The sequence below is a fragment of the Homo sapiens genome, chromosome 8 (genome assembly GCF_000001405.40).
Source record: "Homo sapiens chromosome 8, GRCh38.p14 Primary Assembly".
Classification (NCBI taxonomy): Eukaryota; Metazoa; Chordata; class Mammalia; order Primates; family Hominidae; genus Homo; species Homo sapiens.
Window position 1 is genome coordinate 28,183,994 of NC_000008.11, and position 12,305 is coordinate 28,196,298.

The 12,305-nt window shown below is 47.1% G+C and overlaps 1 protein-coding gene across 7 annotated transcripts in view, besides 2 other annotated features; it reads left to right on the top strand.

Annotated features, from left to right (window-relative positions):
* Positions 1–7,160, top strand: part of ELP3 (elongator acetyltransferase complex subunit 3) — a 100,922-nt gene extending 93,762 nt beyond the window's left edge. For all 7 annotated transcript variants that reach the window (XM_024447184.2, NM_001284222.2, NM_018091.6 and 4 more), the window contains one exon: positions 5,656–7,160. In XM_024447184.2, coding sequence (XP_024302952.1) covers positions 5,656–5,732 — 77 coding nt within the window. In that variant the 3' untranslated portion in view covers positions 5,733–7,160. The remainder of the gene's footprint in view (positions 1–5,655) is intronic.
* Positions 1,243–1,745: an enhancer, noted in NCBI's record as "H3K4me1 hESC enhancer chr8:28042753-28043255 (GRCh37/hg19 assembly coordinates)". NCBI's record gives its function as "activates a minimal SCP1, AML or CMV promoter by ChIP-STARR-seq in naive H9 embryonic stem cells {active_cell/tissue: H9 hESC(naive)}" and the evidence as "EXISTENCE:reporter gene assay evidence [ECO:0000049][PMID:30033119]".
* Positions 7,611–8,363: an enhancer, noted in NCBI's record as "H3K27ac-H3K4me1 hESC enhancer chr8:28049121-28049873 (GRCh37/hg19 assembly coordinates)". NCBI's record gives its function as "activates a minimal SCP1, AML or CMV promoter by ChIP-STARR-seq in naive H9 embryonic stem cells {active_cell/tissue: H9 hESC(naive)}" and the evidence as "EXISTENCE:reporter gene assay evidence [ECO:0000049][PMID:30033119]".

Below are 12,305 nucleotides of genomic sequence, written 5' to 3' on the forward strand. Positions count from 1 at the left end.
GGCTGGCTAACAAAAGGAAAGTTACTATGACAGAGGACTTTCTGGGAGCCCTGCTGAGCATGGAGAGGGGATCAGAGCAGAGCAAGGCCCTCACCCAGCCTTGGTGGCTAAGTGCAGGGGTAATGCCTTTCCCAACCTGTTCTGCAGGTTGTAGAAACAGGAGGAAATTTTTCTTTCAAAAAACAAGAGGCAGAAAGAAATTTAGCTCTTTAGGTGAGCAGAGGTTAGAGTCCAGACTGACTAGAGGTGAAGTTCCCTTCCCTGGATGCCAGCACTTCTCAGAGGACCTGGAGACAGTGTTCCATCTCAGGGCTGAGCTCGCCATCTCAGGCCTGCTGCGTCTTATTGAAAATAAGGACAAGAACTTCAATATACAGCTTTCCTCCAAAAGGCCCATCGTGAGGCCTGAGTGCCCCTGCCCAAGGTGGTAATCGTTTCTAGGGCACACCCCCTGTAGAAAGGAAAAAGTAGAAGGCCCAAGGAGCCTGTAGCTCCGTGGGAATCATGATGAGAAATGCTTAGATGTACCCCAGTAAAGCAGCTCTTTTAACCAGCATGCTTAAGAAATCAGGGCACTCTTGATTGTTGAACTTTCTGGTTATCCAAGGACTGTCCAGTCCTGTGTTAGATGTAAGGAACTCTTCTCTCTCACCTCTGCAGCCATTTATGGTAGACAAATATAGGTTGATGCATATTTTTGGAAGTAAAGCACTTTGACCAACAATTACACATCTTCCATCTTAAAATTAGGCCATCATTTTCATTTGACAGAGGACATATAAAAGAGCAAAACTAAACATGTCTCCAGGAACTGAGCTGAGCAGAACCAAAAGGAAATGTTAGAGATGTTTTCTAAGTTCACGTGAGTAGAAAGCTCGAAACTCAGAAGTCTCCTGGGTGGAAGGCGGAGGTTGCAGTGAGCCAAGACCATGCCATTGCACTCCAGCCTGGGTGACAAGAGCAAAACTCCATCTCAAAAAAAAAAAAAAGAGAGAGATCTCCTGGGTGAATTGTCCCTGCTAAAGCTGAGTGATGGGTGCAGGGAGGTTCAGTGCACTGTCTTCTGCACTTTTGTGTGTTTGACATTCTCCAAGATACATTGTTTTAAGTCCATGGAAAACAGTATCTGTTTTGTAAAAGTAAAATAGAAACATAAAAAGCCAGAAGTATTTCTGAAAGATTTGGGGCAGTTTTTGTTAGATAGAGATAATAATATAAGTCAGGAAGCTGCCTCTTAATCTCTCAGCTAACAAGGTAGGAAATTTGTACCTAGGTTAAGAAGTCATCCTGCCCTTCAGCTCTTGTACATTGAATCATTCCATTACCCAACACCCAACATAGAGCCAATTTTTTTTTCAAATACATCCTCCAGGAACACATTTCTTTGTATATACACAACATAAGAATAGCTGAACAGCATATGAGAGATCTGCAAACATTTATTGCATCTTGATTATATGCCAGACACTGATGATAGAAGCCATTGACTTTAAAGAGCTGACATCCTAGGGAGGGAGACAGACCTGCGCAGTGTGATTACTAAAACAGTGGAACTCTAATTAAGGCACACAGCCAGCCTGGAGAGAGAGTGCTGTGAATTCTGGCTTCTTTGTAGATAGGGGAAGTATCTGCACAGGTCTCCTGGTGGGGGATGAGTGGGAGGGTGGCTGGGAGGGCCTTAGCAGACAGAATGGGCGGCTGCTGAGGGAAGCGCCCAGAGGCAGTGGCTGAGCCCGCGTGGTGATGCTGGGCTGGTTTGCTGATCCTGGACCTAGTCAACTGTGCCAGGAACTAAAGTTGAAGGGTCTGGGCAGGAAAGACTTTGTGGATCAGGCTAAGGAATTTGAACTTTATCTTGGGACACATCATTAGTGATTCTAAGCAGGAGAGCAGTGTGTTCAGAATTACTCCGAATTCTGATTTTAAATAGTGGCTTGACCTCATTTGTTTTTCTCTTCCTGTCCTCAAGCTTCCTTGTCAGTTATGATACTTTTAGTTAACAAGTAACAGAAAACTCAGCTCAGTGACTTATACCCAACATGGATGAACCTTGAAGACATTGTGCTAAGTGAAATAAGCCAGTTATAAAAGGACAAATATTACATGATTCCACTTACATGTGGTATCTACAGGAGTCAAATTCATGGAGACAGAAAGTAGAACGGGGGTTGTCAGGGGCTGGGAGAGGGGGAGCAAGTAGGGTTGGTGTTTAGTGGGTACAGAGTTTCAGCTTTACAAGATAAAGAGTTCTGGAGATGGATGGTGGTGATAGTTGTACCACAGTGTGAATGTATTTAGCAACACCGAGCTGTATACTTAAAAGCAAAAATATCCTCAAAATGGCTTAAACCAAATGGAAAATATTTCATAAGAAATATATAGAGAAGCTTTGGGACTGATTAATTCAGGGTTCGGCAATTTCAAAAAGGAGCCAGGTGGCTCTGCCTTCTCACTCTTCATCACCACTTCAGCCCCTTGGAAGACAACTGCCCCCGTCCGAAATTACCTTGCAAAGCAACATCCAAGAAAAGAGACCGTCCCTAAGTCCATTTTCGATTGCTTATAACAGGATACCTGAAAGGGAATTTATTTATTACAGTTTTGGAGGCTGAAAAGTCCAAGGTCAAAGGGCTGGATCTAGTGAGGGCCTTCTTGCAGGTGGGGACTTTCTGTGGAGTCCTGCGGTGGCACAGGATAGCACATGGCATCACACAGTGGTAGGGCTGCATGTGCCAGCTCAGGACCCTGTTCCTCTTCTTGTAAAACCACTAGAACTCATTATCCTGTTAGTCCATGAATAGATTAATCCTTTCATGAGGGCAGAGCCCTCACACTCTAGTCACCTCTTCATAGCCCCACCTCTCAGTAATAGGGATTAAGTTTCAACATGAGTTTCAGAGGAGACAAATACCTAACCCATAGCACTCCCTGTGTCTCTTTAAGAACAACAAAAGCTTCCAAAATCAGAGTCTTCAGCATCTTGGCATGAATGTCTAGCAGCCATTCCACATGCAGCCTGACTGGAGCCCCACTCCTGATTCCTCTTGCAAGCTCTTCCCACCATCTCCTCACTCCCAGGCAGTGGTGGCTCCTGTTTCTCCAGACTCTTCCTTTACTCAGGCTAAATACCCTGGAGTCGCCTTGGCTCCCGTCACACCCCACATCCGTTGGCAGATTCTTTTCACTCTGCCTTCCACATATGCCCAGGCTCTGGGTACTTTTCACCACTGTGACTCAGCCCGAGCCACCACCATCTCCCACCTGGATTATTGTCATCGCTTCCTACCTGATCTCCCTATTTCTGCCCTTGGTCACATATCCATTCAGTGAGCAAATATTTACCGTGTACCTCACATGTGACAGGCATCACTCTGGGTACTGGCAGCTCTACAGTGAATAAAACAAAATCCCTGCCCTCCTGGAGCCTTCATTCTGTTCTCAAAACAGCAGTCAGATCATGTCCCTCCTTTGACCAGCATCCTCTCATTCTTCCATCTCACTCAGAATAAAAGCCAGATTCCTTAGGAGACCTGCATGATGGTGCCTCCTTGTTCCTTGAGTAAGTTGAGTGCACGCCCGTCTCAGGACTTTCACATTTGTTTTTCCTGCTCCCTAGAATCCTGTCCCCCCCATGTAGCCTCAGGCCTTTCTCTTTCATTTTATTCAAGTCTCTTGATTTGGAATTTGACAGAAAGATGGGAATGAGTTGCCCTGAACAACTGGCAGTGGAGTGGCCATTTACAGAGAGGGAGCTTCCTGCGGAGGGAGCTTGCGGGGCAGGTTACCAGGAGTTGGGTTTTTGACCTGCTACACCTTCCATGCAATTTAGACATTCAGGTGGGTCATGCAGCACCTGTGGACGAATCTGAGGCTCAAGGAGAGCTCTGAGTGACAGATTTAGGGGTTGCCAGTGTATACATAGGTTTACGCTCAGTGTCACAGGAAGCGCGTGCACAGAAGAGCTGCATATTGCAGTGATTTCAGTTAGGGATACGAGGAGGAAGCAGCAAAGGAGACTAAGGAAGGGCAGCCAGCGAGCTAGAGGAGAATCAGGAGATGCACTTCTCCAAAGCCCAGTGCAGGGACGTGCAGAGAGGGAGGGAAGGACGGAGGGAGTGCCTGTGGCAGGTGCTGCTGATCGCTCTCCCCGCCCAGCCTCAGCTGTCTCACTCCCAGGCACAGACAGCCGGGCTGTTTGAGGAATGCGTCCAATATGCAGGGGTAATGGACCTTTAGTACCAACTTCAACTAGTTCATGTTCCTTGAATGTTGAGACATCATAAAAAATATAATTTGGTCTCTGTTCCTGGTTCCTGACATAGAGCTCCTAAAACCCTTGTAATTTTCTGAGCTGCAGGGGTTCAAGGGGCATCTTTTGTTCTAATCTGGTGACTCTTGGTGGGCTCCTGGGTGGGGACCTGTCACCAGAAAAATGAAGCCATGAGGAGAGGGTTGAACCTTCAGCCCCACCCTCCCTCCTCCGGGGAGGGAAGGGGGCTGGAAATGGAGTTAGTAATTGATCATACCTACACAATGAAACTCCATAAAAATCCCTAAAAGATGGGGTTCAGAGAACTTTTCATTTTGGCAAACACATCCACTTGCTGGGAGCATGGTGCACCCCAACGCGGTGGGGACAAACACTTCTGTGCTCGGGACCCTCCCAGACCTCACCCAGTGTGCCTTTTCACCTGGCTGTTCACTTGTATCTTTTATCATATCCTGTAATAAACTGGTAAACGTAAGTAAATGTTTCCCTGAGCTCTGTGAGCCATTATGACAAATTATCAAATCTGAGGAGGGGCTTGTAGGAACCCTCCATTTGTAGCCAACTTGGACAGCAGTTGTAGGCAACCTGCAGCCCCTCTGCTTGCAATTGGTGTCTGAAGTTGGGGGCAGTCTCTGGACTGAGCTCAGAACTGGGGGGCCTTGCGCTCATCAGAGTAGGTAGGGTCCAAATTGAGTTAAATTATAGAACACCCAGTTGGTGTCAACAGAGAACTGGACAGTTGCTTGGTATGGAAAACCTACACTTCTCTTCACAAACCACACTTCATGAGCCAGGGCCATCCCAGCAAAGCTGCTTCTTTGACACCAACTGATGAGGAAAACACTTTTTCCTGTTAAGCCTTGTATACTTCCAACACTTCTGACAGTAGCCACAAGTGTACCTTCGCTACTGGGGCTGAGTGGAGATCCCATTTTTTCCCCCACTCTTCTCTCTTTAAAACTTCTGGGAAACCGTCTATCGTTTGGCCTCATCTGGAGCATAGGCAGCTCAGACAGTAAATCCACCTCTTCTCCTTCACCTGTAGCACCTAAGGTGGTGCCTGGTGTTGCCAGTAGGGTAGTGAATACGCAGGCTCCAACACACGGGTGCACACGTTTGCTGTTGCCTGTGAGTGTGTGTGTCACATACCCTGAGCTTGAGTTAAAAATCAGGGAAAGAGTCTTCTTCTCTCCACTTAGCAGTTTCTATATTTTAATGCAGCCTGAATTCAAAGTAATAATGTTCCAAACTTATTAAGCTGAGATTTTATGTGGGAGAGAATTTGGTCTCTGGGTGGGAGAGAGTGTAAGGCTGAGGGAAGCACATGCCGACTTTTGAGAATTGCTAAAGTGAATGCTCCTTTTTTAACTTCGATTTTTCTGCAGGGGTCGGCACCAGGAATTATTATAGAAAGATCGGCTACAGATTACAAGGCCCGTACATGGTGAAGATGCTGAAATAATGGCCACACCAGTCCACTCTTCTGCAGTATCCTCCCTGGCAGAACACGGAGAATCAGGATTTCTTAAATACTCAACAGAGAGGCTGAGCAGAGCAAATGGGGGGCTTCACCCTCATCCCGCAGCTGCAGAGACTGGAAACTGCCTTCAAGGCCACGGCTGGTCATCTGCTGACCACACCCCAGATCCGCCCTCTCCTGCGTGCACCCCAAAAAATCACTTGCGTTTTTGAGGCTTAAATCATCTATCCAGTTTCTACATTTTGCATGAGGCCTGCAGGTGGCCTATTTTGACTCAGACGGTGAAAAAAGCAAATTAACTCATTTGGACACCATAACTCATGCAATAAAACTGATTGTCATTCGAGGAGCAAACTTAAGAGTAGTTTATTTATATACCCTGGGGACAGAAAGTCAGGTTGAAACAGGAAAACCACCAGACTCTAATCTCAGCCCTTTAACGACATACGCATTGGAGCGCAAGTTAGGAAAATGAGCTTTTGTTTTCATGGAAATCATTCTGATTACAGTGCTGATGTTTAGAAATAAATAGCAGTGTGACTGGGAAAGAGGAATTGCAGTTGTGGGGGTGTGAGCCTGGCAGCAGCCAGCCAGCAGCCTCTCCCAGGCGGGAGTCTACCATCCGAGACGGCGATGACAAAGAGCTTCATTCCACATTCTTTGTTATCTCTACTTCCCACCCTCTTGGCAACTACAGAGCAGTGTGGGCAGCCCCAAGTGTGGTCCCCAGAGAGCGTTTGGCTTTCCTGTCTGTCTATCCTGAGCGGGTGGAGTCTCAGGTTGTGTGCCCCTAAATCAAGATTTGCTTCCACAGAAGCCATTACTTGCAATTTTTTTTTTTTTTCTGAGAAAGTCTCGCTGTGTCACCCAGGCTGGAGTGCAGTGGCGCAATCTCACTGCATCCTCCGCCTCCCGGGTTCAAGCGATTCTCCCGCCTCAGCCTCCTGAGTAGCTGGGATTACAGGCACCCGCCGCTGCTAATTTTTGTATTTTTAGTAGAGATGGGGGTTTCACCATATTGGTCAGGCTGGTCTCGAACTCCTGACCTCAGGTGATCAACCCACCTTGGCCTCCCTAAATGCCGGGATTACAGGCATGAGCCACCGCTCCCAGCCTTTGATTTTTTAAGGTGGATTTTGGTTGTTATAAATGGAGAAAGGTAAGAGTTCAAGTTCAACCCGTGTGTGAAAGCAAAACAATGGAAAACAGGATTGGCTTCTTCAAAGGCTCCTCTTGTAGAACTGCCTCTTTGAAATTTCGAGGTAATCTACTTTGGAGACTCTGCCTGGAGAGGGTCAGTTCCTAAGTTAAAAGCATCGCTTAACCTTGGCTCCTGTGGCATTTTACAAAGGTTTAAAGGAATTGATTCCTCTGAAAGGGCCTGAAAATAAAAAGTCTTTAACATACAAAGAAGAGTCATGTGGTTTTCTTTCTCTCCCTGTAAATGCAGTGACATTTGCCACAAATGTGCAGGTTTCAGTTTCCAACCTATGGCACTGTTCATTTCCTCCCGGGTGCTGTTTGCCATTTCATTAAACTGCTATGAGGCAAATGGCAGTGGCTTTGTTATGGGCTGGCTGTGGAACCACCACAGCTTTCCATGAGTGTCGTTTAGGGACTTAGCTACTTCTCAATTATGCTTTTTTACCCTATAAAAATAAAACAATAAAGCCTACTCCCGCTGGTTGTCAGAGCTGTGTTGCTGGAGACAGAACCAGCTGCGCAGCCCTGGAGCACAAAGTCTCTGGGCCTCGACCTTCTCATCTGTCCTAGGTGCCCAAATGGATCCACACACATAAAAGGGCTTTTGTGAAATGGTAAAAAGGCCTGCACGTGGAAAGTTCACTTCAAAAGATGACAATTTAGGGAATTTGAAACAAAATGACAGGAACTTGCACCTTTCTGATGGCTGTCAGCTATTATTGAATCCTGGTTTTATCTCAGGATTCACGAGAATCCCTCTTTCTAGCTCATCCCTGGCCTTCCTTGCCGTATCTTGTGGCCTGTGCAAAACGGCAGCAGTTGGGGAGCTTCCCCCGGGTGGCAGAGCTCCCGCCTCCCTCTGCCACCAGAAGCTTCCGCTTCTCTTGTGACTGCCAGGGCTCGTTCCGGCACGGATGGTGCTTGGCACCTCCACTGTCCGGCTGGTCTGTCTGCTCCGAGGCCTGTGGGGCCACCTCATAAGAAAGCTCAGTTGGGCACAATTCTGCTGGCCTCAGTGTGAAACCATCACAGCTGCAGGCTGATCCCATCTGAATGGAAGGACTCCTTAGCAACCACCTCCAATCTAGAAAGCTCTGCTTTTAGCTCAACTTCTGGCTACATCACCTGAAGTTTTTTTTTTTTTTTCTTTTTTTAATTCAAGTCATATCAAAAACAGACTGAAATAAATTTGAAGAGAAAATGAGATTTTTAAAATACATTATCACCGAATGAAAGGGCCTGGTAAAACTCATTGTTCCTCCCATTTGGGAACAAGCAAACCGCTTATCCATTTTCCATCTCTGCAGGCCCTAAAGTACTGCAAAGACAACTCAAAAACCAACGCCTGTTCCCCTAAAACGTCTTTCAGATTGCAAATTTTCATTGCCAATGGGGTTTTGGCTTTTTTGTTTTCAAGATTATCACATTGAAAACAGAAAATCCTGCTCCTAAAGAACTCACAGACCCCTGAGTTTACCAAAAAAAAAAAAAGCACAAGATCTGGAATCTGAAAACCTGGTTTCCTCATTAACCATGAAGCTTTGAGCAAGGCCCCTCCCCGTTTTGAGCTACCATTTCCCTATTTGTAAACACGTGTCTCTCGGGGCAAGCATAGGAATCAGATGTGGCATTTGAGAGACATTGCATAAACCAGGACATATACCAATAGTTGTTGCTGCCCCCACTGAAGTGGCTTCACTGCTGATGTGTGACCTTGGGCAAGTCAACCCTGCAAAGTTTCTTCATCTGTAAGATGGGAGTGAGGACTACAGAAGCCCATGTATGCAGGGTTCTTAGAACAGGAAGCATATTATAGACGCACTAGCTTTGATTACTAATATCTAGCAAGTGCAATCGTCAGCCCATTTTTTTTTTTCAATGAGGGAGCTTCTCTGCTGACAATAGAATTTCTGATTCTTTGCTACAATCTTAAGTTTTTCTAGAAGCCCATGTCAGAAGAATAGTATCTCTGATGCTCCAAGACCCTATTCTCCTCCTCCTCTGGTCTATTTTATTCCACAAGTCTAGGGTTGCACATTGTCAAATCCATTCCTTGAGGGCCAAGATCCTAGCTGAGACTGCAACAGCAAAAAGCATTTTGAAATACCGCTGTCACTGGAGTGGCTTCCTGGAAAGTTGTCCAGCAGCAGCACGCATTGCCGATCCCAGTGTGAGCTGGTGGCTGTGTCCGCCTAGGGAGTCTGGCAGCCATTTGTGGCAGGGGTTGGCATGGGGAGGGGACACCTTTCTATATGTTGGAGTTGTGTACACCAGTAATACACTTGTGTTTCATTCTGTGAAGGCATTTCCAAAAATGATGTTTCAAGAAACTGATTTTAATGTAGACAAATCCATGCCTGTGAAAAAGTTGCCACTAGGCTGCTTTTCTCTATCCTGCCTTCACTACCGTCACCCAGATGTGCAGCTTTATCTCCTTTGTCTCTACACACCTAATTCCCCTCTTGTCCACCTGGAAAATGTCTCATCATTCAGGGGAACAAACGACTATTTGTTGAGCCTCCACCAGGCCCTGGACTCTGCCTCAGGTCCTTCACCTTCCTCATCTTGGGATATCCCCGCAGCCCCCGCCGTCCTCAAGGTCAATAAGGTAAGGTGAATAGTCTCCACTACTCTTTTTTTTTTTTTTTGAAACAGGATCTCACTCTGTTGTCCAGGCTGGAGTGCAGTGGCGCAGTCATGGCCCACTGTAGCCGTGCAAACTCCCAGGCTCAAGCACTCCTCCCACCTCAGTCTCCCGAGTAGCTGGGACTACAGGCATGCACCGCTACACTCAGCTAATTTTTTGACTTTTTTATAGAGGCGGGAGGGGTCTCGTTGTGTTGCCCAGGCTGGTCTTGAACTCCTGGACTCAAGCGATCCTGCCGCCTCAGCCTCCCAAAGTGCTGGGATTACAGGCGTGAGCCACCGCGTCTGACCTTGCCTCCATTACTTAAGTGAAGAAGGCAGGCTGGTGTCTTCACCTCTGAGCCTGGCATCACAGGAAGCCACTGCGGCACCCAGGTGCAGTCACAGTGCCATTCCCCAAATGTCTGGGGATTGCGTATACTATAGTCTGAATAGGACCCCGGAGTGGCCCAGTGCAGTGGCCCTGGTCTCAGTCATTAAATGCTAAGACGCAAGCTTCGAGACCGAGTCAGTGATTCAGCCCTTCCCACCCCACCCGGCCCCACTCTTCCTCTTCTAGAGGAAAGCGTTTCCAGTCAGCTTATGTTAGATGCTAACAGACCGGGCCTGTGCCTTCAGATGTGGATTTCACCCTCATGGCAGCCTGTGAGAGAAGCCCTATTATCAGCATCCCAGCAGTTACAAGTGGTGGGAGAGGAAGTGGATGATTTCCTCAAGAGAGAATGCAAAGTACAGAAAGAGCCTGCTCTTTTCATTTAAATGAAAATAGCGCTTGGGGGCTCTGAAAATTATATATGCTCATTATAACAAATGGAAATGAGACAGAAAAGCACAAAATAACCTGAAATCCCACCGTCAGTGCCAGCCGTGGTTAACATTGTGATGAATGTCCTTCCAGCCACCTCTCTCTATACACACACACACACACACACACACACACACAGACACACAATCAGCTTTACATAGAAGAGTCATATTGTACACGTTGCTTCTTTTTTACTCTACAAGATGTAAAGTAAGCATCTTTCCATTTCAATATGGATTTACTTGATGGTTTTTTTGTTTGTTTTTTGTTTTTGTTTTTGTTTTTTTTTGCTTTTGAGACACAGTCTCACTGTCTCCCAGGCTGGCGTGCAGTGGTACTATCTTGGCTCACTGCAGCCTCCAACTTTTGGGCTCATATGATCCTCCTGCCTCAGCCTCCCAAGTAGCTGGAACTAGAGGTACGCACCATCACGCCCAGCTAATTTATTTTTTTGTAGAGCTGAGGTCTCCCTGTGTTGCCCATGCTGGTCTCGAACCCCTGGCTCAAGCTACTCCATCCTTTGCAGTGACTACCTAGTGGTCCCCTGTCTGTAAGTGCACGGGGGGATTTCAGCAGGCCTTTCTAATCTCACACTCTCATCATCACAATACCTAGAATCAGATGTGAAGCACAAATCTGTTGGCTCAATACCAAGATGTACTTCTTTAATTTCTTTTCTACAATCACTCATTCATGGCCGGTCCCCTTTGTTCCCCCCGCCCCCCGCCTCTTTGGTTGTCCCGCCACCAAGCCTTTCAGTCCTTCACTCATACTGGGGAAGGCCTCCCTGGCTAGTGCATGCCCTTTCTTATCCAGAGGGCAGCAGCACATTCAAATCATGAACAAGTCCCATCACACAAAATGTCAAGATGCCTGCTCACTGGAAGGCACTGGTGCATGACACCCTTTACTGAGGTGAGAGGTGACTGTACCTTATCTTTTTTCCCCTGATGTAAGGGACTGCGCCAAGTCAGATCCCTGCACCAGCTGCAGACACTCGTCATCTTGTCTGCAAGGCTAGAAAATGTGACCACCAGGGAGACTTGATGGTACCTGCTGTCAACATCAGGGCAGGCAGCAGAGGGGCTCTCAGTGCTTGGACTGCCCAAGAAAGAATGGCGGATCGTCCAGATGCCTGGGGACCAGTCTTGCTTCTGCCTCTGTCCAGCTCTGCAGGGACAGGGAATGGGTCACCACATGTCTAGGGTGCTGAGGCAGCAAGCAAAGGATCACCTGCATCTACTGAAGGAAGGAAAGTACAGGAACATTTTGGCAAGAGGAAGAAAGGGAAGTAATGCGCTGAGCAGTCATGCCTGGTATTGCCCCATGATGGTCCTCGGAGGGAGGAATTAAGGTCCTCATTTTACAAATGAGAAACTCGGGCTGAAAACAGCTCAGTAAATTAACCAAGGCCACAGAGCTAGTCAGAGAAATGAGTGTGAAGACAACAAACTGGCCCAATACAGTGGCCCACGCCTGTAATCCCAGAACTTTGAGAGGCTGAGGTGGGAAAATCCCTGGAGCTCAAGAGTTCGAGACCAGCCTGGGCAACATAATGATACCCATTCTCTATAAAAAATTAGCCAGGTGTAGTCGTACACACCTACATTTCTACCTACTACAGAGGCTGAGGCAGGAGGATCGCTTGAGCCCAGGAGTTGGAGGCTGCAGTGAGCCATGATTGTGCCACTGTACTCCAGCCTGGGTGAGAGGAAGACCCTGTCTCAAAACACACACACACAAAACAAATTGACATTTGCAAACTTGCAAAGATTCATACTTACGAGCAGTGGTTCCTCTAGAATTTCTAAAACAAAGTTTCTGGCTGGCAGTTGGGTTGGAGAAGGGTTTATCTTGAAGCTACGTGGCCTGGCAGACATTGTTTGCCCCCATCACCTGCT